The sequence below is a fragment of the Homo sapiens genome, chromosome 12, assembly GCF_000001405.40.
Source record: "Homo sapiens chromosome 12, GRCh38.p14 Primary Assembly".
Taxonomy (NCBI): Eukaryota; Metazoa; Chordata; class Mammalia; order Primates; family Hominidae; genus Homo; species Homo sapiens.
Window position 1 is genome coordinate 43,831,207 of NC_000012.12, and position 26,137 is coordinate 43,857,343.

Consider the following 26,137-nt stretch of genomic DNA (forward strand, 5'->3'; position numbering starts at 1 on the left):
TTATATTCAGAGTATGTAATTAGCATCATCCCGACTGACCTATTGGAAGTTAAAAATAGTTTTGCTCAGAGTCCATCTAATCACTGACAAAAGCATTTCCCGATTGACTTGGTAGAGGTTACTGATGATTACACCTATACTTTCCCCTGGCTTTCAAAATGCCATTTAGAGAGGATAAATTGGTTCATAATGAAAGCTCTCACCAATTTTTGAAATGTACATTGAGCATTGATCTTGTCTTTTTCTTTTTTTTTTTTAATAAAGACTGAAATGTATTATTGAGGTACTGGGACATGTGAGGTGAACGGAAAAACATCATGTCTCATGTGGTTACTTCTGATTTTTTTTTTTTTTTTAGACCAAGTCTCACTCTGTCACCCAGGCTGGAGTGCAGTGGCGCAATCTTGGCTCACTGCAACCTCCACCTCCCAGGTTCAAGTGATTCTTCTGCCTCAGCCTTTCAAGTAGCTGGGACTATAGGTGCGCACCACCACTCCTGGCTAATTTTTGTATTTTTGGTAGAGATGGGGTTTCACCATATTGGCCAGGCTGGTCTTGAACTCCTGACCTTGTGATCTGCCCACCTCAGCTTTTTCAAAGTGCTGGCATTACAGGAGTGAGCCACCGTGCCCGGCCTTACTTCTTTCTGTTTTTTTAACTCTTGGATCAGATTTTACAAAGGAATGATATGTAAACAACACACATTTTAAGCCTATTTGCAGGGTTGACTTCAGATGTGGAGGTGGAGTAGGCAGATGATTGACTAGTGTGATCTGAGAGTTTTGAAAAACTATTTCTATTGTTACCCTGACACTCTGAAACTGTGGCCAATTGGCTAAACTCCTGCATATAAAAGAAATGGAGTTGTTTGGGCTAAAATATGGAGGAAAGAGTGGGAGATTTATGCCCTACTATCTTGGTTTCTTTTTGGAACTTCTATCTGTACCCTTTGAAAATCATTGCTGGCCAACACTGAAGAAGTGGTTAACTCTGCGTGAGTAAGCAATCACCACCTGGCTACTGGGCCAATTGATTTTGACCTAGAGGAAAGTTTTCATAGAACGGTAATGTTTGATAGGAAGGAAGAATGGCCTTTACTGACTACCTATTACATGGCAGACACTACAGGTGTTTTATAGATGTTGGTCATTTAAAACCCCTAATAGGTCTGTGTGGTAGTGATTGGGATGGAAGGAGACTGAAGAATAGGAAGAACAGTAGCTGAAATCCTGAGTGAGATCTCTCTGTGAACAGATTTCAGTGACCTACTTTGAGCTCCTAAGTCCACATCCGGATCTAACATCTCACCACTTCAGTGGTGAAGAAGGAAGATCTGGGGATTCCTATTGTAATTTTTCAGTAGCAATTTGTATAACTTTATAGCGAGTAAGCAGTGGAGCCAGAATTTATACCAATATTCATTATATCAGGTCTCCTAACCATAAAAGCCACATCTCTTTCCTCTTATATGGGGAGGAAGTATTATGTAAGATGAGAGGTTAAAACGTGGGCTGACAAGCCACATTGCCTGGTTTCTGATCCTTACTCTACCACTATGGCTACTTGTGAGATCTTGAATGAACTACTCAATCTCAGTATGCCTGTCTCCTCAAAGGTAAATGTAGAGAGGGATACTCCGTGTTTAGCAGCTATCTCACAGGTCTTTAATACATGTAATGAGCTTGGTATACAATAAGCCTTCAATAAGTTGAGCTTTTGTCACTAATTGTTATTGTGATCAAACTGAGAGGCTATTCCTCTGTCCAGTTCTGAAACAGGGCTGAGCTGGAGATCATGGCTGGCTACCAAGGCAAAGGGCACAGGCTTCTTGGTCAGTGGTTAAAAAGGGAACATTGATGCTGAAAACAAGCCTTGCCCATTTCAGTATTTTGCCTTGAAGTGGTCCTAGAGAACTACACTCTCTAAGCCCTGAGGTTTCTCAACAATAAATAGTAAGCATTGGTAGAGCTTATTCTTAAAATTATTATTATATGAAGAGAGATCTAAAGGTCTAAAGGTAGGCTAACAAGTTCCATGTAAGTGATGCCAGACATTTCGGTTCTGATGAACTGAAGTTGATTTTAGTAGACACTCATGTAGTTCAATTGATTATGGAGTGGATTGAGTTCTATTTCTTAAGGAGACAGAAGACAAGCTGCTGAATGATTTTTATCCCACTATCCCCTGAAATACAATATATTTTTCAGCCTCTTTCTCAATGAAAAGGAAAGTGCCTCCTCTTTTCCTTTATTTTCCCTTATTTTATTTTGTCTGGAGGTGACAGGGGGTTACAAATTACAGACCTCAACTGAGTGCTGTGGCTCACCCTGAAATCCCAGCACTTTGGGAGGCCGAGGCTGAAGGATGGTTTGAGGCCAGGAGTTCACAATCAGGTGGGCAACGTAGACCCTGTCTCTACAGAATTAAAAAAAATTAGCTAGGTGTGGTGGTGTGCACCTGTGGTCCCAGCTACTTGGGAGGGTGAGTCAGCAGGATTGCTTGAGCCCAGGAGTTTGAAGTTGCAATGAGCTGTGATTGCACCACTGCACGCCAGCCTGGGTGACAGAGCAAGACTCTGTCTCTTTAAAAAAGAAAAAAAAAATAGGCTGGGCATGGTGGCTCACACCTGTAACCTCAGCACTTTGAGAGGATGAGGTGGGCAGATCACTTGAGCTCAGGAGTTTGAGACCAGCCTGGACAATGTGGCAAAACCCTGTCTCTACAAAAAATACAAAAATTAGCCAGGTGTGGTGGTGTGTGCCTGTTGTCCCATCTACTCTGGAGGCTGAGGTGGGAGGATCACTTGAGCCCAGCAGGTCAAGGCTGCAGTAGGCTATAATTGTGCCACTGCACTCCAGCCTGGGGTACAGAGTGAGACTCTGTCTCAAAGAAAATAGTAGTAATAAAAGAAATAAATTACAGACCTCAGTATTCTGTATAATTTGTGAAGCTTTACTATTTTTCAGTTTTAACTGACTGAAGAGTCCTTGCTTTAAATGGAGATACAAGGAAAATATAGCATATGGAACCTTTGTTAAACAGTTACCCACGTGTAACAGTTTAAAAATTCTTTAGAGAATAATATTAATTACAGTTATAAAAGCACAGTGGAATATAATGACTAATATGTGGAATTAATCCACTATCTATGAGCCATTACTATAACTTACTATGTTAGGTACTAAGGATACAATCATGAGTAAGATTTAATCTCTGCCCTTGAAGAGTTCATAGCGTAGTGGGAGAAAAAAGAAGTTGCAAAAAAGAACAACAAAAGTGTAATAGTAAAATGTACCAAGTGCTAGCATAGGCAACAACTCTTTCTGGCAAAACTTGTTAAAGCATTACAAAAGAGAACCTTACTAGTTAAGAGTTCTGTAAAATGATCACAAATGATTGACTACTATATATCCAGTGGTGTGGGGATGTGGGGGTTCTATTTCTTAAGAAGACAGAAGACAAGCTGCTGAATGACATTTCGGTTCTGATGAACTGAAGCTCATTTTAGTAGACACCCATGTAGTTCAATTGATTATGCAGTGGATTGAGTTCACTCTCATATATATGAGAGGCATATTTATATATATCCATATATACGTGGTCATTTTTGGAAGCTAGAAAAATGTCAAATTAGTGGGAAGTATGGCAGTGAATTCCCAATTATGCCTATGCAGATAAACTACCCTATGGCACTTGGGCATGGCTCTCTCCATCCCATCTTAAAATCCGCGGACATCTCAGTTCTCCCTCTTGCCATCCACCCATTCCTGAATCAGGCTACCAGTACAGGGGAGGGCCTAGCTCTGCCTTCATAAGTTTGCTAATATGGGCATATAGAAATCCTATTTTCCATTTGATTATATACACTAGTGATAACTTCCATTACCACAAAATATTAGCATGCTGGATAGCAGCTGTTAACACGTTTTCAGCAACCGGTAAACTGAGGTAGCAGTTGCTATTAGGTGTGGAAGGAAACAGAGGCCACACATACATGATGGAAAGGAGGTTACATTCAGGAAGAGAGGAATTGGTCAGATGTAGTCAAAGGGTCTTCCTGCCCTATGCCGCAGAGGTATCATTTAGGTATCATAGAATGACAGGCTCCGGAGAGCCTCAGACTGCAAAAACTTTAAAAATTGTACATGAGTATGTGTGCTGATGTACATATGTGTGTATGCATGTGTATACGTGTGCTTATGTGTGTATACATATGTATGCATGAGTGTATTTGTGCATCTCTATGTGTGTATGAATGTGTGTATGTGTGCATATGTGTGTGTGTGTGTGTGATACCAGGCAGGTTGGAAAGTAAGTGGAAGACTTCTCATACTCCTCATGGGCTCTGCCTCTCCCCACCCCCACATCCCCACACCACCAACAGACAAAAACAGAAATCATGTTTTGCGACCTGAGATTGCTTTCGAAAGTTTGTAGCTCTTCGAGGACATTCCAGTGGGACCCTCATTGGTTCCCTGCAGGATGGTGGATTTTCTGTCAGCCGCCCCCCAACCCCCACCAGGTTCCTGAGTCCGTCCCTCGCCTGCAGCTGCCGCTCTGCAGAGGCGGGCCGGCCCGGGCAGGCTCGGCCCGTGGCGCACGCGGCCCGCGGGCTGGAGTCAGCCCGTGGTGCGGGCGAGAGGGCAGGGGCGGGGAGAAGCCATGCCTCCAGCTGCAGAGGTTGCACACAGCTGGCATGATCGCGGTCACCTGCGCGGCGCCGGTGCCCTTGCGCTCGCGTTGCCCGGCCCGCGGCCGCGGACTTTGCGGCGGGAGCGCGGCGCGGTGAAGCACCGGCGCGGAGGGCGCCCGGCGTAGGCGGCGGCGGGTGTGGGCCGAGCCGGTATTTATAGCTCCGTGACAGCAGCAGCGGCAGCGACGCCGCCGGCCCGTCTCGCCGCGCTTCCCAGCGAGGCCGCCGGCGCGCCGAGGGCTGTGCTCGACCGCGAATCCCGTGTGCAGTCGCCCCGCGCCCCGCGCGACCCTTCGGGTGAGTACGTGGGCCCGGGCGTTGGGCGAGCCTCCCCAGCCGTTCGGTCCAGCCGCAGCGGAGCCCTCCCGGCCCTGCCGCCCGTGTCCCGGCTGCCACCTCGTCACTGCCCGCGAGTGCGGAAGCAGCCGCGGAACCCCGGCCCGGCCCCCGAATTCTCCGGCGCCTCTGCTCCTGCCTTCCTGGGGATGGCAGCCAAAGAGGCAGGGTGAAGTGTCAAGGAGGGAGGGGGGACGCGCCAGCCCTCTGGCTAAGGGCAGAGGAGACTCCCGGGCGAAAGGCTCTTGGTGGGAGTCCTCAAACTCCCGGCTCCAGTGTGTGTGCAGAGATACGGCGGGAGAGCAGACCTTGAACTTTCCTTGCTTCAGCGATTCCTAGCCTAGGAACTGAGTAAAAGCCCTATTTTTCTTAATTAAATTAACAGGTTGCAGTTCGTAGGTGTTGTTCTTGGGAAAAAAACAAAGACTTGGGTGTTTGGGTGTTTGCTAACTTCATCGTGACTAAATAAAACTATTTTTTTTCATTCCTATTTTTGAAAATGCCACAGGCCCACAAGTGTGTTCTACCCTCTGTGGAACAATGAAGTATGTGTATGTGTGTGTGGGTGTGCGTGTGTGAGAGAGAGAGAGACACGGGAGTAAACATCACATGCTTATCAGGAACCAAAAAGGAAAAAAAATGAGTAAAAGTATGTTGAATATAAGGGTATGTATTGCCCCCAATTATAAATGATGTATTGTCTGAAATCCAAGGAAGGACTTCTAGGAAGCTACAGGGTTTTGTTTTGGCTTCAGAAACAAGGTCTTCCAATTTATTGAATATAAAAGTAGTTGAATCCCTGTAAACCCCATTTTTTTTTGTAAAGTATTGACATTTGACCATGGATATACTTTCTTTTATCCCCCAAGTCTTTATAGTTTAAAAGTAATTATGGATTTTGACATTTTGTCTCAGGCATTTATCCCTCCTATTCCACCCTCCATCTGATCCGTGTGATGAGAAACTGGCTCTTGTCAGTTTTATCTAAGTTTCTTTAAGCTGTCATTAAAAAATAAACTTTTCACATGAATTCTATTTAATTCATTAAATGTGTTTTTCTTTGGCATTGTGTTTGGAATATGATCATGGCAATTTCTTTTCTTTTCTTTAATTTCTGTCTTTCTTTCTTTCATGGAGTCGGGCTCTGTCGCTCAGGCTGGAGTGCAGTGCCATGATTTCCAGCTCACTGCAACCTCCGCCTCCCGGGTTCAAGGGATTCTCCTGCCTCGGCCTCCTGAGTAGCTGGGATTACAGGCGCGCGCCACCATGCCTGGCTAATTTTTGTATTTTTAGTAGAGATGGGGTTTCACCATGTTGGTCAGGCTGGTCTCGAACTCTTGACTTCGTGATCCGCCCGCCTTGGCCTCCAGAAATGCGGACATTACAGGTGTGAGCCACTGCTCCGGGCTGGCAATTCCTTATTGCAAACAAATCACTGAAAAGGAGGTCTAAACATTTTTAAAGGATATAGTAGTGATTATATTTTAATTTTATAATGTGCTCCGGCTCATAAATATTTTGCCATTTCAATGGAGAGTTTTCTCTGTTCAGAGGACCCCTAGACCTACTTTGCTTTTGGAGTTGCTGTTTTAAAAACTTGCATTGATTAAGCAATTTGTTTACCCAAGGACTGCAGGATAGGAACAAGGGAAGAAAAATCACTTAAAGGTTGAGACAATGTGAAGAGAAAATCTAGGAAGTGATTTATAGATGTAAACCTCTAAATTAGCTAAGGTACCACAAATATTATCCTGGAATCTATCAGAACCACTTATGGTGGTTTTATTGATTGACTTAAAAGGTTGCTTTTTATTTAAAAGCCCCTGTGGTCTTTTGTATTAGACTAAAAGTAAGAAGTTCTAACTTTATTTCTGTTATTATTGCTATTTGTGTTTTTTTTTTAACCTGTATTAGGCACTTGCATTATGTAAAATGCTATGTATAATCTTTTCCTGCCTTTTTATCTAACAATTTAAGATAATGTACTCAGACCTGTCATTACCTCAGGACTGGTCTGTGTGTATGTGTACATATGTGTGTGTGTGAGACCAGGTAGGTTGGAAAGTAAGTATAAGACTTTTCATACCCCTTGTGGGCTCTGCCTCTCCCCACCCCCACATCCCCATACCACTAATAGACAAAAACAGAAATGATGTTTTGCCACCTGAGATTGCTTTTGAAAGTTTGTAGCTCTTTGAGGACATTCCATATATTTGGTTTTTCACCTTTCTTCCATTTATCCTTTTGCAGATTTGGATATGTATTATCCAGACTCTACTCTCTCTGGAATGGAGTCTTCCAGTTTTTTTTTTTTTTTTTTCCCTCACCCAGGCTGGTCTGTTACGTGTTATCCATACATCTGTTTATTCATTTATTCATCCATCAGCAAATATCTATAGAGGGCCTACTAGATTCAAGTCATCACTTAGTACTTACTCTTACTTCCTTCCCATTGGAATTTTATTCTGTGTTTTATACTTCACACAATGGTAACTAAGAGTAATAACTTTGGGGTTATATAGAGGTAGTCGTGCCTGTTTCTGTCAGCTGGTAGCTTTATGACCCTGGACAGATCATAACCTCTCTGAATTTCTGTTTCTTCACTGGTAAATCCAAATGGCAGGTATCAGGAATAATTGAGAGAATACATGGATAGTGATTTCCAAGAGCCCAACCCCTAAAAGCACTAAAAAGTGTTAATTACAAGTTTGCTGTCTATATCTACTGCATCCCTCTTCATCTCAGGAAATGCATTTTCCATCTCAGGAAATGCATTTTCTATCTCAGGAAATGGCAGTTCCATTCTGGATTTTGCCTAGGTCACATCTACATCCAATGTATTAGTAAATTTTATTAGTTATTTTTGAATGTGTCCAGAACCAGAGTTGTTTAAACTGCCTTAATTTCTCTCTGCTTGGTCCAAGTTGCTGCATCTTTGGCAACGGCTTCCTCAGTAGCTTCCCTGCTTCTGTTCCTTGCCCTCCTTTCTTACAAAATATTTTCAACCAGGAAACAGACAGGCCTTTCTGTCATATAAGTCAGATTGTGTCCCTCCTCTGCTTCCTGTCCCACTCAGGGTGAAAGCCCACATACGAGGGCTTCAAGGCCTGCTCATGATCAGATGCTACCTTCTGTACCTAATCTCTTTCATACTCCCCTGCACCTGCTCCCCATCCAGTCATACTGCCCTCCTTAACGATCCTTAATTTGCTCTAAATGTGCACCCAACAATGGCCTTTCCAAGTTTTGTTCCCTCTATCTGGATCACACTTTCCCTAGATAGCTGCTGTCTTCTCTCCCTTCTTTCATGCCTGTCTTCTAATGTCACCTTATAATGAGGTCTTCAACTTCCCTCACACCTGACACTCCCTGTTAACTTTTCCTTGCTTTAATTTTCTCTTTGAACTTTCTTAAATACTGTGTTTAGTTTTTATCTGTTTAATATCTGTTTCCCTCAAAGAAACTATCAGATGCATGGCAACAGGACTTTGTCTGGTAGTTACCCTAGCACATAGGCCAGTGCCTGGCAAAAAATAGGCAACTGGTAAATGTTGAACAAATGAATGAATGAATGTTATTATGGAATTAACAAATCTGTACATCATCACTTTTATATGATGATCAGCACTCTTTTGCTCTGAAACTTTTGATAATTCTCTATTTTCAGTAAAATACAGACCAACACTTTTGGATAATCTTTGTTGGACTGGCTCCAAATTATCCTTAACTCTCACAGGATAACCCCAAGCACCCAGTGTTCCAGCCACACAGAACTAGTGATACATCTCTACATCAGCCCCAGGCGGTTTCCTTTGTGCCTTTGCACAAAATAGAAGTACTGTGATTTTTTTTTTTAATATCAGATGGCTTTATTTTTCTAACTAACGTAAAGGGTAAGATTTTAGAATTTATGTCCTTGTGTGTGGAAGGCATTGCATGGAGTGTTGAAGCCAGGTGGCTTGGATTTAAATTGTGGCTCTGATATAAATTAATTTTGTTATTCTTTACAAGGTACGGAACTCTAAGTCTCTGTTGCAATATTTGTAAAATGAGGAAAATAATATTTTCTTCATTGGGTTGCTATGAAATTTAAGAGATGCTTGTAAAGCTCATCAGCATAGTATCTGGTATATAGTATGTGCTTAATAAATGTTAGCCTTAGAAATATTAATTTAACACCTCGTGCTGAAATGAGAGGGAGTTGAGGGGGGGTGCATTAGTATTGTTACTGGCCACGTCATCAATGCAGTCCTTGGACTCCACTGCTTCTCTTCGCTTTGTTTGCCTTAGCGGAAGTTGAATGGCAGGTTGCTCCACCTTCTCATCTCACCTAAACAATGAGGGAGCTTCTCTTTGTGAGTGTACCACTCAGCTCATCCAGTAGATGCCTACTGATCACCCAGTATGAGCCCAGTATTGTGCTGTGCCCTGGCAGTAAACAGCCACTTCTCTGAGGAGCTTATGATCAAGTGAGGGAGACAAACACATACATAGATAATTTCACTATAGTGAGCCAGGAGCTAAGATAAAAGCTCATTCTCATCTGTGGTTATAGAAATGAATTTTTAAAAATGGAAAGGTTTTGCAGACTATGTGCCCTGTGTAACATAGTCCATTTGAACAGCCTCAAGCCTGCATTTAAATTAACAGTAGATACACCAAATGATCATACTGATTGTAAAGATGTTTTATGTGCACTACAGAGGTGAAAACAGTTTTGGTTCTCTGGATAATATTGGGGTACCTAAGGAACTAGAAAGTAGGGCTGAGAGGACTAGGCAAACATTTGCAGCCTGTGTACGAAGTCATGAAGTGAGGATAAGCAGAGGTTTAATTCAAATTATTATGTAAGGGTTTGAAATTTGGGACCCTCTAGAAGATATCACTTCAACTTCAGAATTATGAGGCAAGAATAAATTCCAGCCAGCTTAAATGATCAATAATGGAGTCCTGTTTTGTTCTGCTAGTTGAAATTGTTAGTGGAAATAAAGAATGAGCTGTAAGCATGATGGGAAATATCTTACTGGAAGAAACACTTCCAGCTTTGTGGTATATTAGAAAGATTAAGGGCTAGGTGTAAGTCTGGATTCAAATCCTGATGTTTCCACTTGTTATATAAATTAAACAGGCAGCAACTGCTCTGAGCCTTTGTTTTCTTCCCTGTAATGTGGCAGTGATAGTAGCATTCATGGCATTACTGTGGTAATTAAATAAGATCATGTACTAGTGCAGGATTATTGCTCAATGCTATAGTTCTCTTCCCTAAATAATATAAATGCTGGAGAGAAACAGCTGTCTCAGAAATTTTTTGAATGTTCTAATTTAACTTGAGCATGTGGACATTACATAGCCCACGAAGCAAGTTTCCGAACTTAAAAACAACAAGAAAATAAGTATGTGCTAGCCTCCAAAATGCGTGTATTTAAAAAAAGAGTCAAGATTATATGTATTGGAATTGATCTGGCCGTCTGCAGGAAATGGTGATCAGGCCCTGGAGTCAGCCTCAGAGGCTCAGATCACAGCTCTTCTGAGAGGTGACTTTGGGCCAGTTACAAAGTCCATGTGAGCCTCAGTTTCCTCTCTGTAAAATGAAGTGATAGGAATGATAATAATGGTATTTCAGTAGTATTTCTAAATCCTACTGCCTTAATTCTGTGTGTTCATGGTGGGAGGGGAGGTGGTGATAGCAACCATATCAGAATTCTTCACTGGCGAAAGAAGCAACAGCAGCCTGTAATAACAGCTTCTTAAATAATACTCCTTTCTAGTTCTGATGGGCATATGGGAACTATTTCTTTTTCATGACTCACTGGTGACCAGTGATGAATTTTTTTTGTAGTGGTGGTCTGTGGACACTTCCAAAACTGTTGTGTGAAATCGAGTTCAAAACCAACCTATTCTGGCATTCTTACACATTGAATATCATGAAAACACATAAAAGTTCATTTTTTTTGTTCTTCACTACTTGCTCTGCTCTCTTTGATGTGAGAGTCACACATATAAGTTTCTGCTGCTATAGCAGGTGATGAGCCTCATACTGAAAAATATGAAAACAAAAACAAGACTCTTGAGGTAGTCACCATTCCTAGGTGGTCCAAGCTACAGCCCCTGGGGACAGATTTCAGAGTGTTCACAAAGATAACAAGGGACTTAAAATTGCTTAGAAGGCTTATGAATCCAGGGCACAGTCACTATTTGCTTGGCTGAATTCTATTGCCAATGTTTATATTGCCAATGTTTATATTGCTTTTGTAAAATAGTCATGACAAGTCCTCATTAACTAAGATTGTGGGTTGAATTGGCATTCGTCAGCCCAGAATATTGGATTGGGACTCAGGAGCCTTGGAGGCTATCTCAGATCTTCCATTGACTTACTTCAGGCTTGTGGCATGGTCTTTGTGATTTCAGTCATGTATAAAGTGAGAATATTTATTAATGGATACTCCCCCCACCAAGTGTTCAGGGTTTATAAAGGATTCTTTCTCAACACACACACACACACACACGTGCACGCACACACACAATTTTTTTTTATGCATTAGAAGTAGATATATTACAGAGTTATTATAATTGTGTCTGGAGAAGAACATGTCTCCAGAAGACATTTAAGGGATGGCATCCCTGGGACTGGGACCTGGGCCTGCTCTCTAGGCAAGGAAGGTGCAAGGAGTTGATCTGGCTGTCTGCAGAGAATGGTGATCAGCACCTGGAGTCAGCCTCAGAGATTCAGATCAGAGCTCTCCTGCTAGGTGACTTTGGGCAAGTTACAAAATCTGTGTCAGCCCCAATTTCCACCCTGTAAAATGAAGTGACAGGAATGATAATAACAGTATTTCAGGGGGTTGTTATGACAAAAATGATACAATGATACACGCAGACATCCAGCACAGAGCCTGGCATGCAAACTGCTGTAGGCTTTGTAAAGGACCCTCTTCCCCCTCTTCCCCCTCTTCCCTTTCTGAATTCTAACTAAACTGGGAGAGAAGAAAAATGAATTGGCAGATGGCAGTCAAATTTTTGTCTGTATTATTTTTGATATCTAAGATTTAATCAGTGTTATTGCTGAAAAACAGACATAGTTTAGTCTGAGAGCCAAATGGGCTCACAAAGTCCAAACCCCAGAATTAGATAGACATAATCATCCACTTACAAGCCCTGGTGGACCCAGACAGATCTCTTCATGTGGAAGTTACAGCTTGTGTTCTTTATGGGCAGGCCGGTTCCCAAAGAGGGGAGAAGGAGGAGCTAAGCAAGACTTTGGAGGTGGGCCTGAACATTTTCATTTTAAGACAGCTATGTACTTCCAGTGCACATATTCAGGTTAGGACCTACTACTGTGGGCATATTACATATTTTGCAGTGCTCTGTGCCTTTGGATGTGCCGTAGCCACTGCCTAGAGTGGCTTGCCTTCTATCTGTCCCTTCTTCACTAGTAAAAAAATTCTACTAATCCTCCAACCTTAAACTTGGGGATATCCTTTGTGAAATCTTCCTCTTTATTCTCATTCACCCAATGCAAAGTTGCCCAGTCCTTTCTGTGGGCTACTACTCTACTGTAGACTTAGCTATTTCATAGAACTTACTCTCTATTGAAATTATTTGATAACTAGGCTGTGAACATTTTAATAAAAGTTTATTCACCTGTATACATTTGTCAATGTTTAGAAGAAGATCTGAAAGTAATTACACCAAATTCATAAGCAATCATAACTCTGAGGAGAGGGATTTGGGCAGAGGAGAGAATATTGTTTAACTTTTGTTAATATATGCTCATTTTACCTCTATATTGTTTTGATTTTGTAATAATCAAAAAGAGGAGGCCGAGTATGGTGGCTCACACCTGTAATCCCAGCACTTTGGGAACTTTAGGTGGGCAGATCATTTGAGCCCAGAAGCTCAAGACCAACATGGAGAAACCCTGTCTCTACAGAAAATACAAAAGTTAACCAGGCGTGGTGGCACATGCCTGTGGCCACAGCTACTGGGGAGGCTGAGGTGGGAGGATCACTTGAGCCCAGGAGGTGGAGGCTGCAATGAGCCATGGTTGTGCCACCTCTGCATTTCCGCCTGGGAGGGCCTCTACATGTCATCTTGGTCACCATCCCAATTTTGGACAGTGTTCTGCCCTCTCACATCCCATTGTCTCCCCATACTCTTTCATTGTTTTTCTTTCCTAAGTCCCCAGATGATCAGAGGTATGATTAGATGTTAGGGAAGGGACAGTATTCGCTTTCCTCATTCTCAGACTTGTCTTGGAGCCATGAGTAGGAACAGGTATCATCTTTTCCAAATACATTTTTATGGAACTGTTATAAACCTGAACTGATAAAAAGAAGAAAGCCATTACTTGTTTTCCTCCTCTAACCCTATCTATCTTTTCTTATACAGGTAAACTACGAACTGGGAGTTCTGAAGAATGGGTAAAGACTTTCGTTACTATTTCCAGCATCCCTGGTCTCGCATGATTGTGGCTTACTTGGTGATCTTCTTTAACTTCTTAATATTTGCGGAGGACCCAGTTTCTCATAGCCAAACAGAAGCCAATGTTATTGTTGTTGGAAACTGTTTTTCATTTGTTACAAATAAATACCCTAGAGGAGTTGGCTGGAGGATTTTGAAGGTGCTTCTATGGCTACTTGCCATTCTCACAGGACTAATAGCTGGCAAATTTCTGTTCCATCAGCGTTTGTTTGGTAAGTACCATGACCCATGAAATGTAATATCACTAATTATTTAATTTCTATTCTCCAAGATACAACTTTGCTATTTCTAAGTGCCAATGTAGGAGGCATTTTAGTTTGTCCTCCTGCCTTAAGTTGTTATGCATGGTTGTAACTGGGTTCTTCAACTACTCTCTGTTAATGGTTTACTTTTCCTACTGTCTAAGGAAAATTAGCACGAGGTAAAATTAGTACCAAACTTCATTAAAAAAAAATAGCATTAGGCCAGGTGTGGTGGCTCACGCCAGTAATCCCACCAATTTGGGAGGCCAAGGTGGGCAGATCACTTGAGGTCAGAAGTTTGAGATCAGCCTGGCGAACATGGTGAAACCTCATCTCTACTAAAAATACAAAAAATAGCCAGGCGTGGTGGCACATGTTTGTAATCCCAGCTACTTGAGAGGCTGAGGTGGGAGAATCGCTTGAACCTGGGAGGCGGAGGTTGCAGTGAGCCAAGATTGCACCGCTGCACTACAGCCTGGGTGACACAGCGCGACTCCATCTCAAAAAAAAAAAAAAAAAAAAAAAGAGCATTAGAGATAAAATGAATATATACCTAGTCATTTTTTAAAAACTTTTTTTATTTTTAAAATTTTTTTTATTATACTTTAAGTTCTAGGGTACAGGTGCACAATGTGCAGGTTTGTTACATAGGTATACATGTGCCATGTTGGTTTGCTGCACCCGTTAACTCAACATTTACATTAGGTATTTCTCCTAATGCTATCCCTCCCCCCTCCCCCAACCCCATGACAGGGCCTGGGGTATGATGTTCCCCACCCTGTGTCCAAGTGTTGTCATTGTTCAGCTCCCACCTATGAGCAAGAACATGTGGTGTTTGGTTTTCTTTCCTTGTGATAGTTTGCTCAGAATGATGGTTTCCAGCTGCATCCATGTCCCTGCAAAGGACATGAACTCATCTTTTCTTATGGCTACATAGTATTCCATGGTGATATATACGTAATCTTATTTAGAGAAGATATGAACATGAAAATAGCTTTTCCCCTCATAAATAGTACCAAAGTGTTGTAGAGAGTTTATAAATCATAAAAAAATGCCTCCATATCACAGCACATTTTCATTAAATATATTTTACACATATTGTTCATTCAGGGAGTTGGAACTATAAACTTTTACTCTCTCTCTCTTTTTTTTTTGAACATTGGCTTTAGGATGTTTATTTTGAGCCTATCCAACCAAAGAATAGTATATTAGTAAGGGATCTCTTGATAATGACAGAAGAAGAGACTAAATTAGTTTAAGTTAAAAAGGTAACTTACTATAAGGATGTTAGGATATTTCAGAGACTGAGGGTAGAATGAAGTGACAGGGACATTGGGACATTGGGATAAATGAAACCAAGGGTTTGACATCTGTTATGATGCGTTTGTCTCTCTCTATAATATCTGCTTTATTCTCCTTTTACACTGAAAATGAATTTTTATTACCTAGAGAGACTGGGTTGACTTTCCTGGTCTCAAGTTTAAACTCTCAGGGAAGAGTGTGAAGTTGTCTCAGGGTTTGGTTCCCACCTCTGAACTAACCGATTTTTGCCTAGAGGTAGGTGGTATTTATTCAATAGATGTTCATCGCTTATTACATGCCAGACACAATTCTAGACAGTGAATCAAGCAGGCAAGGTCTTTGCCTTCATAAAAACTTACTTCCTACAGGAGAGAGAAAGACTAAACAAATAAATGTATACTCTGTATGCAATGGGGGAAAAGAAAGTAGTTTTGAGTGCTGGGTCAATTAGGAAGAGAATGTAATAATAGAGCTTTGGACTTAGCAGTGATAAGATAAATAGGTGACTTACTGAAGGTATTTTTGGTCTAGAGTTTGGGTTAGAAACCATGGCAATGTTTTAAGGAATAAATAAATAAATAACTATCCGTACACACACACATACACGTAGTATTATGTATGTATTTTTCTCTGTTCCTCAAATTATTGCCATCTGTTTCTATTATATAAATATATAAGATGTACATATTTTATATCGTCTTGTGCCTATATGTATACAATGCACACATATGTATAGATGCACATAGTTTCTAGACATTTGGTGAGAAACTAGAAGAAAGAAATGGAGAAGTGCTAAAAATGGAAGAAGGGCCAAGGGAAAATTTTGTTGTTGGTGGTGGGGCAGATAGTTTTATTTGGGGGATAAGATTAATTGACCTGCTGATATTTGTGGGAGAAGGAGCTAGATTAAAGTGGAGATAAAAAGATATAGATGAAAGATAGCATCTCTGAAGGTTTCTGTGGTCTGGGACTTAAGACACAGGTAGAAATGGTGGCTTAGAGAGGACAAGAGGAGAGACCCTGGTTTCTCAAATATAGGCATGGGTGAGATAAAGATTGGTACTATATTAGGTATTTTTGAGGTATAGAAACAGGAAGGTGAATATTCTTCTCTCTGTTGAACCTGATAACCTGATATCTCTTTAACCTGATAACCTCTGTTTTACTGTGAAAAAGAAGATCCCATGATAAAGATGGAGGGGCTTGATGATGCAATGGGTTTAAGGAAGTGGTCAAGGTTTGGAACAGTGGCCCTAGGGAGTTGGGAAGTGAACTGACTCAGAACAAATGAAAGGGTTGCTGATTATCATGAAGATTGTTAGCCACTATAAATTTGAATGATACCAATCTGGATTGTTGAGCAGTGTTCTTTTTGAGAGCTCAGTCATCCAGAAGAGAATTTCAGCATGATTCATCTGGGTGGGGACTGCTCAGGCTTGCTGTATTGGAAACAAAGGATGGAAAATAAATGGAGAGTTCTAGTAAAAGCATTATTCATTTGATTGACAGGGGGTTGTGGTTGGACATGGAAAACAGGTGAGGGAGATGATGGTCTGGTATTGGGGGAACCTGCCCCCAATATTTTAACATAGGTTCTATTTTCCATAAGTGTTGGCCGGCTGAGAAATAAAGAGAGACAGTATAAAGAGAGGAATTTTACAGCTGGGCCGCCAGGGGTGACATCACATATCAGTAGGACTGTGATGCCCGCCTGAGTCTCAGACCAGCAAGTTTTTATTAAGGGTTTCAAAAGGGGCGGGGGTGTAAGAACAGAGAGTAGGTACAAAGATCACATGCTTCAAAGAGCAAAAAGCAGAAGCACTGATAAGGGTCTAACAAAGGTCACATGGCAAAGGGCAAAAGCAGAACCACTGATAAGGGTCCAACAAAGATCACAGGGCAAAGGGCAAAAGCAGAACCACTGATAAGGGTCTATGTTCAGCAGTGCATGTATTGTCTTGATAAACATCTTAAACAACAGAAAACAGCATTTGAGAGTAGAGAACCGGTCTGACCACAAATTTACCAGGGTTGAGTTTCCTCAACCCTAGTAAGCCTGAGGGTTCTTCAGGAGACCAGGGCTTATCTCAGTCCTTATCTCAACTGCACAAGACAGACATTCCCAGAGCTGCCGTTTATAGACCTCCCCCCAGAAATGCATTCTTTTCCCAGGGTATTAATATTAATATTCCTTGCTAGGAAAAGCATTTAACGATATGTTTCCTACTTGCATGTCCGTTTATAGGCTCTCTGCAAGAAGAAAATATGGCTCTTTTTGCCCGACCCCTCAGGCAGTCAGACCTTATGGTTGTCTTCCCTTGTTCCATAAAAATCACTATTATTCTGTTCTTTTTCAAGGTGCACTAATTTCATATTGTTCAAACACACATGTTTCACAATCAATTTGTACAGTTAACGCAATGATCACAGTGGTCCTGAGGTGACATACATCCTCAGCTTACGAAGATAACAGGATTAAGAGATTAAAGACGGGCATAAGAATTATAAAAGTATTATTTGAGAACTGATAAATGTCCATATTAAGATGAAATCTTTACAATTTATGTTCCTCTGCCGCAGCTTTAGCCCGTCCCTCTGTTCGGAGTCCCTGACTTCCTGTAACAGTCTGGGAGGAGTGGGCAGGGGCCTAAAGATTTGGATGAAACTCAACAGCTGAGATGGGAGTAAGAAAGGGGAAAGGATTTGTGGGTGTGGTCACATGACATGTTGTAACAGAAGTAAACCATTCTTTAGTAGTGATTCCCAAGTAGGGTGTGGTCTTTAGAGAGTGAGTCCTAAAGTGGAGTGGAGAGATGGCTCATTGACACAGAGAATATTTAGGAACTCAGTTGGATCATCCACCAAACATTAAACAAGCATCATGTCCTACATAGTAATTATATGGATAGAAGAGGATAAGGGTGGATAGCGAATGGGAGTGGGTCATTTTCCAAAAATGGATGGAGAGTGCTGGGGAGACAAAACAGTAGATACCTGTTACAAGCAATGGCTGGATGTATTTGGATCCCATTCAAGAAATTTTCTCAGCATAGGAAGCTAAGGCAAATTTAGACCAAAATATCCAGTTTGGAGAAAAGTCATCTGTCTATATTGAAGATTGATTGAGAATCACACCATTAAGCTAATGGTATTAATTATAAACAGGACATTTGGTTTTGTAATTGCAACATTTTGTTAAATTATTCTGTTGCAAACTTTTATCTCTTATACTAAAATCACATTTCAGTTATGGCTTAGATTTTAATTCTCCTGGTGGTATAAGTAATCAGCCCTGAAAAAGCACTTTCGATTTCAAGTGATTTATTGAGTACAAATTATTTTAAAATAATGCAAGTGAATTCTCTCTCTCTTTTTTTTTTACTTACAGTAGAAAAGATTATATGATGTAGTCAGCTTTATTTCTTCTATTTGGCAGTTTCTCCTTTTTTTCTTACTAAAAACCTATGAAATTATATGGAATATTAGAGAAGGAATCATAACCTTCTGTAAATCTTGGTGAGGACTCTTGATTTAATTTCCTGATGAACTCCGAACTTGTCACCTCTCATTCTCTGATCCAATTTCCTAATAAACTTTGAACTTGTCTTCTTCTTCTGTCTCTGCTCATGGCAGTTGATTCTTCATTACTTCATGAACTATTAATCATTTCCTCCTAATAGTTATCTGCTCCTCTTGTTCATTATGGATTTTGCTAGTGGAATTATTTTTTTCATATTGCTAAATGGCTTCTACCACTGTTCTGTGGTGAGCAGGTCTGTGCAAACCTATCCCCAAAGACTGAGGAGCTGAGAGGCTGAAGAAAGAGGCTGACACATCCGTTTTCACAGGAAACAACATTTAATAGGGCCTTACTAACAGAAGCCATGTCTCGGTACCTGTGAGATGATGGATCCTTGCCCTGTTATCCTCCAGACGCAGGGCTTATACACCATGGGGAATTTGCCTAAGGGAAGGATTCATGGTAAGTAAAAATCTTAGAGGCCTTCTCAGAACTAGGGTTGATCAGAAGTCAACATGATGGATTAGCATTTAAGATGGAGTTACTTTGACCTGCAGAACCACCAACAGAATAAAAGCTAAACTCCTTTGATTGATATCCGAAGCTATTTATGATCTACTTCTTCCTCACTCCAAACCTGATCTTTCACATTCCACATACTGCAGGGAAATATTTGCTGGTTCTCAAACTTGCCATGTTATCTCATGTCCCAGTGTTTTTTTGCGTATGTGCTCTCCCATGCCCATTATGCTCCTCTCTGCTTTGTCACCTTGGCTAGTTTTCCATTTTCCTTCAAATCTCAGTTCAAGCATTATCTCCTCTGTGACACTTTCTCTGACTCCCTCCCGTAAGACTTCAGTTGTCTTCTCTTCAGCTCCTGCTTGTGACTACTTGTACCAAAGAGTCACAGCCATGCAATGATAGGGAAAATAATTAAAAATTTAATGCAAACATTAATGTTCTTATTGGCTTGGTATATGATAAATGTTTCTGCCCTGGTTCCCAAATAATTAGCATTTATTCATTATTCATTTTTAAAAGGACATATTTAACAATTTGTACATGCAAACTTCTGATAGGTGATGATGATGGTGATGATGATGATGATGATGATGTTGTGTGTATGTTGGGAGGAATGGGATTGCTAATGACGAGCACAGAAATTTTTGTTACAGAAATATTGGAATGCCTTACAAAAATGATCAGAATCATTTCTTGAGATCAACTAAACAGCTTCTTTTTTTTATATAATTCTCTAATAAGATACCAAACACAGATATTATATAGAATGCCACTATCCCTTTCATTTAATCAACTTGTAAGTCTTCCTTCATTTATTTTGTTATGGGAAGTCTCTTCTTAGTAGATTCCAGAAGGACAATACAGTATTGCCAATTTAAGGGATGTGTGAGAAAGAGTGAATGATTCTGTGAGCACATGATTTAATATACTTCATTGGTTATAAATTTAATTTTTCTGTGAGACATAAATGTTATGATTTTGTGACTCTTTAGGTAATAACATAATTCAGGAGCAATTCTGAAATCAGAATTGATATGTTTAGAATTTTTTTTAGTTTAAAATGGAATCTTTGGGTATTAGGATTTATAAAAGTTAAATTCCATTGGAATGTCAGTTTATACTCTTCCAGTACCTCTCTCTCTCATTTGCTTGGATGATTCTAGTTTTTTTTTAAAATGTGTTTTAATAATGCATCCTAGCTTTTGGGGGGATTATACTTTAGACATATCCATGAATAGAGACATCCAAAATTCTTATGCCTACAATTAGGACTTATATTCAAGGAGAATTTAATTTCTTGAGCTTATTCAAGAAATAATTTTTATTCCAAAAAGGAATTGAAATTATTTGCAACATACATGCATAATACAGTAGAAGTAGAAAATCAGGACCACGGAAAAGGCAGAATCAAATTTGTTTTGATTTCATGGGTTTCAAAACCTTGCTTGGTTTTGAGCTTCCTCAGAGCTGAGCACAAGGGGAAACTACATCACTGTCGTTATCAGCAGTGATGAAAATTGTAAGTTCAACAGAGGTCTTTTTCTTTGCACCAAATTGTAGAACTTCCTTGCTATAAATTTTGGTAAAGCATTTCTTTTTTCTTGTGCTTGGTACAAGAGATGCTGAATGGTGAAGTGGCAAATGCAGAAATGGATTTCATATTCTTGTGTCTTAAAGCAAACGTTCATCAAAGTGTAGAGTATAACATTTAACCAGCTGGGCGCGGTGGCTCACGTCTGTAATCCCAGCACTTTGGGAGGCCGAGATGGGCTGATCACGAGGTCAAGAGATCAAGACCATCCTGGCCAACATGGTGAAACCCTGTCTGTACTAAGAATACAAAAACTGGCTGGGCACGGTGGCTCATGCCTGTAATCCCAGCACTTTGGGAGGCCGAGTCGGGCGGATCACGAGGTCAGGAGATTGAGACCATCCTGGCTAACACGGTGAAACCCCGTCTCTACTAAAAGTACAAAAAATTAGCCAGGCGTGTTGGTGGGCGCCTGTAGTCCCAGCTAGTGGGGAGGCTGAGGCAGGAGATTGGCGTGAACCCGGGAGGCAGAGCTTTCAGTGAGCCGAGATCACGCCACTGCACTCCAACCTGGGCGACAGTGCAAGACTCCATCTCAAAAAAAAACAAAATACAAAAATTAGCTGGGTGTGGTGGCACATGCTTGTAGTCCCAGCTACTTGGGAGGCTGAGGCAGCAAAATCACTTGAACCCAGGAGGCAGAGGTTGCAGTGAGCTGAGATTGTGCCATTGCACTCCAGCCTGGCATGGAGCGAGACTCTGTCTCAAAAACAAACAAAAACAATTAATCATGAAAGCAAGCCTGTGATGCTTTATTTCATGAAAACATTTCTATGAAGGGCAAAGTGATAAGGGTTCAAGTTACTTTGACTGAATAGCTTTATCTGAGGATGGATTTTAGAACATCAAGACTGTAATAATGTATTTCTCAGACAAACTCCTTTCCTATTATTTACCTTCTCTCTTTTACTTTTGTTTTCCAACATGTGCAGAGATCCTCTATTAGTTGTCATTTTCTTTTTAACACTGCCCTTTTAACACATTGTCAGATGACCTCCACCATAAGGAGCTGTCAGTCTCTCAACAAGAATGATGTTCTTTGTATTCATTGAAGGTATTACTTAGCTGAAACTGGAGTGGTTGGAAGGCAGGCCACCTCAGAATGAGTTGGTAGGTGTTGCATCTGAAAATGATTCTAAACCTGTTAATACTGCATACTTCCTTTTCCAAACATGTGTTTGCTTATATAGTTATTTGTATAATGTTTCATTAATGTCTGATTTCCCAGCTATACCCGAAACTCTATGAGTGAGAGATTATGTTGATCTTGCTTACCTTTTAATTTTCAGTGCCTAAAACAATGCCTGGCACAGTAGCATTCCATACATTTGATTGAATAAATAAATTTGTTTCTTCATCCTTTACATGTTGTCTTTGCCAGTGTTACCTTTTTTATTTTTTGAGACAGAGTCTCACTCTGTTGCCAGGCTGGAGTGCAGTGGTGCAATCTTGGCTCACTGCAACCTCTGCTTCCCAGGTTCAAGCTCTTCTCCTGCCTCGGCCTCCCAAGTAGCTGGAATTACAGGCACCTGCCACCATACCCAGCTAATTTTTGTATTTATAGTAGAGACAGGGTATCACCACGTTGGCCAGGATGGTCTCGATCTCCTGACCTTGTGATCCACCTTGCCTCGGTCTCCTAAAGTGCTGGGATTACAGGCGTGAGCCACTGTGGCTGGCCCAGTATTGCCTTTTTATTGTAAGATATAGAAAGGTATTTATTTGTTCATTTATAAAAAATAAGACATGGTCTCTGATCTCAAGGAATTTAAAATCTGGTTAAAAAGACAAGATATATATGCATGAAAAATTAAACACTCTTGATGATACAAGAAAATGTGTATCGAGTATCAAATGAATAGTATGGACTGTGAGTGCTGTGAGAATTTAGGAGAGAGGATCATAGTGGGCCAGGACAGGGGAAGAAAGCTTTGTTGCCCATGTGGGACCTAAATTGAGTCTCAAGCGTGAGTGGGATTAAAATAGTCAGATATGATGAAAGGTATTCCTTATAGATTTCAGGTCATGGGGTAGAAAGTGTGAGCAAAGATGGAGACAACTCAGCTTTTTTTTGGAGTTGGGGTAAAAGCTGAAGAATTCATGCTCATTTTGACTGAGAACAATTTATGTTAGGAAAGAGGCGTTGCAGTGAAAAGGTAGGTTGGGCCAAAATTCTTTGGTCTTTAAATGCCAGTCTTCTATCTTTAGACTTTATCTCTTCCATTACAGTCTTTAAGTCAACGAAAATATTTGAACAATGTGTGAGATGATGACAAGATTAATCTTGAAGCAGAATTTAAGGGGAATTGGAAAGGGAGAGATTTGGGGAGTAAAACAGAAGTAAGAAGTTATTTTGGGGGCTGCCTGCAATAATTCTGGCTTATGTTTGTTCAGACTAGTCTAAAATAAGGGGTGGAGCAAAGGCAAGCAGATTGGGGTATGTGAGGCGATGTGAAACCTCCACAACTGATAGGATATGAGTAGGCAAGAGTGAGAGTGAAATGAAAGGTAACTAGGAAGATTAGGCTGGGAGACTGGAGGAGTGATTATCCTACTGAAAAAAAAAAAAAGTCCATAGTGGAATCTGGTTAGAGAAGAAGATAATGAGTTAAGGAAGTGATGACAGCAGGTCATGAGCACATAAGTGATGGCTCATTTACCTTGAACAGTTCACAGAACAGTAAAGGTGTGTGTTACTAAGCTTAGTCCAGGCACACTTTTTAAAAAATTTTATTTTTATTTATTTATTTATTTATTATTTTTTTTCTGAACCTCACTCTGTCACCAGGCTGGAGTGTGGTGGCGTGATCTCGGCTCACTGCAACCTCTGCCTCTCAGGTTCAAGCGATTCTCCTGCCTCAGCCTCCTGAGTAGCTGGTATTACAGGTGTCCACCACCACACCTGGCTAATTTTTGTATTTTTAGTAGAGACAGGGTTTCACCATGTTGGCCAGGTTGGTCTCGAACTCCTGACTTCAGGTGATCTGCCTGCCTTGGCCTCCCAAAGTGCTGGGATTACAGGCGTGAGCCACCGCTCCTGGCCCAGGCCCACCACTTCTTATCCAAAACCTTGAGGCCAGATGTGTTTCAGAATTTAGAGCATTTGCCTTTATTTAAGGTCACCCTGCTAAATACCCCATCATCAGACATGTTAATATTTCTGTATATATGTATACATATTTACATGAAGTTGGATAAGTAAAGACCACAGACAGACTCAAGTAAGTTCAGGTTAGGTGTTGCTACTAAATGGATTCAGGTTTGGTCAGGTTTTGCGAATAAATTAGTTACAAAAATCAGAGTCTTTTGGATCTCGGAACTGTGGAAACTGGATTGTGGACCTGTACTTGACTATGATAAGCATTTCTTTTTTTCTTTTTTTTTTTGAGATGGAGTTTCACTCTTGTTGCCCAGGCTGGAGTGCAGTGGTGTGATCTTGGCTCACTGCAACCTCCGCCTGCCGGGTTCAAGGGATTCTCCTACCTCAGCCTCCCTGATAAGCATTTCATATACATCTTTGCTTACCCCAAGATAGCCAGCTGCATAAAAATCATGATTTTTTAAAAATGCTGTAGTTAAAAAAATAGAATAATTTGATAACTAAATATCTGCCATAGATGAATACATGCTAAAGATGTACTTTTCTTGTGTTTATATTATGCAAATCATTAAGGGGTTTGCTATTTTCTATGTACCTATGTCTGTTTTAGTTTGAAACAGGAAGTTTGGGGACAAAAGCATCCTCAATATATCCAGAGATTTGGGAAGACAAATTCTAGTTTGTATATTTCATTTTACTGTAACAAAAAGGATATCTCCCATACAATACCAAGTAACTCAACAATATTTTGTCATTTAATGAATTTAATAAAGTGAAATGCCTGTTTGTCTTCTATTTTCTTAGCTTTAAGCTTAGTTTGAATTTTTTTGGTATGTTGAACTGCACATATGATTTTATCATTTCAAAATAGAAGAGGTTAAAAGATTCTGAAAAGCATGGTCAAGGTAGTCATGGTAATACAGGAATATCAAAACATGAAGAATTCGACATTTAGGAATAAAAAACTATTATTTTAATACAATGATATGGGTATGGTTTGACTTCCTTTGTGTTAATTTGAGATCTGAATAGCTGAATAGTATAAATAACCAACAAGTTATCATGGTCGTTGAGAGTATATTAAAACTGTATTTATGACTACTCAGGGCAAATGTCAACAACTGATTATTTTAATAATTGTATTATCAGAGTGCTAAGGACTTTTTTGGGGAAATTATTTGAACAGACGCTGTCTATATAGCCAAATGCCATGTAGAATATCTATAGTTTTAAGCTTTGCCCCCTCAAAATGTTATATTAGATACTCATGACAAATATTTAATGTTGTGTCACCATCTTCATTCTCAACCAGTCTGTATGGAGTTCTGGAATCATACTTCTTCTAGGTGCTTGAATTGTCAAGACCCAGTCCTTTTTCACAGAGTTAGTAATTTTAGAGCCCAAAGTGACCAACAGAATTTAAGTTAGAGAAAAATGTTATTTCAAAGTTTGGAGTGACCTTCTGGCATAAGGAATTTAAAAAAGCAGTTCCTCATGTCTATCACTATGAAACAGTCCCTCATACCCCATCACAATCCTCCTCCTCCCTCTCCAAACCACTCCTGTCAACTATAAATTAGTTTGCATTGTCTAGAATTTTATATAAATGAAAACATACAGTATATACTCTTTTTTGTCAGGCTTCTTTCATTCAGCATAATTTTGAAATTCATTCATGTTTTATGTATCAATACTTCATTCCTTTTTATTTCTGACTGGTATTGTGTGACTGTGTCAAAATTTGTTTACCCATGGTATCTGTTGATAGACATTTCTATTTTTTTCAGTTTTTATATATCACAAATCTATGAACACTCATGAAAAAAAAATAAAAAAGCAGTTCCTTAAAAAGACATGAGATAGATTAGGAAAGGTAACCTGGAAAATTATTGATATTTGATGTTTTAAAAAATTCCCAGGAACACCCTTCTTCAGAGGGAGATTTGGTGTGTTGGAGCTACTGAACTTTGTAGCCCTTTTCAAAAAGCTGATCTTATTACTTTGTGTTCCTGTTATGTTCTCTCTCCTAGAGCAGGAAAGCAAGGTAAGGCTGGAAATCCCAAGGACATGGCCATTTCCTCCCACACCTGCTTATTAGGTGCCTTCATTAGTTTGCAGTGCAGTCAGTTGCACATCCATTAGCGCTAAAGGGCAATGAGCTTCATGCAGCTTTCAGTGTGATAGAATCGTCTGGCTGCTCTAGTTCCCCTAGGACAGAGGATACAAACACTGTAAAAGGATACCTCAAGGACTTAATAAACTAACTTAGGTTAGAGCATTATAATTAAGCAATTATGAACCAGGGTGCCTTTCTAGGTACTTTTTTTTTTTTTTATTGTACTTGATACAA

At 40.3% G+C, this 26,137-nt stretch overlaps 1 protein-coding gene across 8 annotated transcripts in view, besides 3 other annotated features; it reads left to right on the forward strand.

Moving 5' to 3' along the window:
* The window catches only part of TMEM117 (transmembrane protein 117), a 603,307-nt gene that overhangs the window by 35,405 nt on the left and 541,765 nt on the right, over window positions 1-26,137 (forward strand). For 5 of the 8 annotated variants that reach the window (XM_047429665.1, NM_032256.3, NM_001286211.2 and 2 more), the window contains exons 1-2: window positions 4,875-4,990; window positions 13,418-13,722. In XM_047429665.1, the coding sequence (XP_047285621.1) occupies window positions 13,446-13,722 (277 nt within the window). In that variant the 5' untranslated portion in view covers window positions 4,875-4,990; window positions 13,418-13,445. Of the gene's footprint in view, window positions 1-4,874; window positions 4,991-5,220; window positions 5,381-13,417; window positions 13,723-26,137 lie in introns of those variants that run through there. The other 3 variants (XM_011538832.3, XM_047429662.1, XM_017020022.2) reach the window with 3 other exon arrangements.
* Window positions 4,550-4,659: a silencer, noted in NCBI's record as "silent region_4371". NCBI's record gives its function as "represses an Ori minimal core promoter by ATAC-STARR-seq in GM12878 lymphoblastoid cells {active_cell/tissue: GM12878}" and the evidence as "EXISTENCE:reporter gene assay evidence [ECO:0000049][PMID:35858748]".
* Window positions 4,690-5,129: a silencer, noted in NCBI's record as "silent region_4372". NCBI's record gives its function as "represses an Ori minimal core promoter by ATAC-STARR-seq in GM12878 lymphoblastoid cells {active_cell/tissue: GM12878}" and the evidence as "EXISTENCE:reporter gene assay evidence [ECO:0000049][PMID:35858748]".
* Window positions 5,116-5,348: a silencer, noted in NCBI's record as "fragment chr12:44230125-44230357 (GRCh37/hg19 assembly coordinates)". NCBI's record gives its function as "represses an EF-1alpha promoter that drives an FKBP-Casp9 reporter gene in an ReSE screen in K562 erythroleukemia cells {active_cell/tissue: K562}" and the evidence as "EXISTENCE:reporter gene assay evidence [ECO:0000049][PMID:32094911]".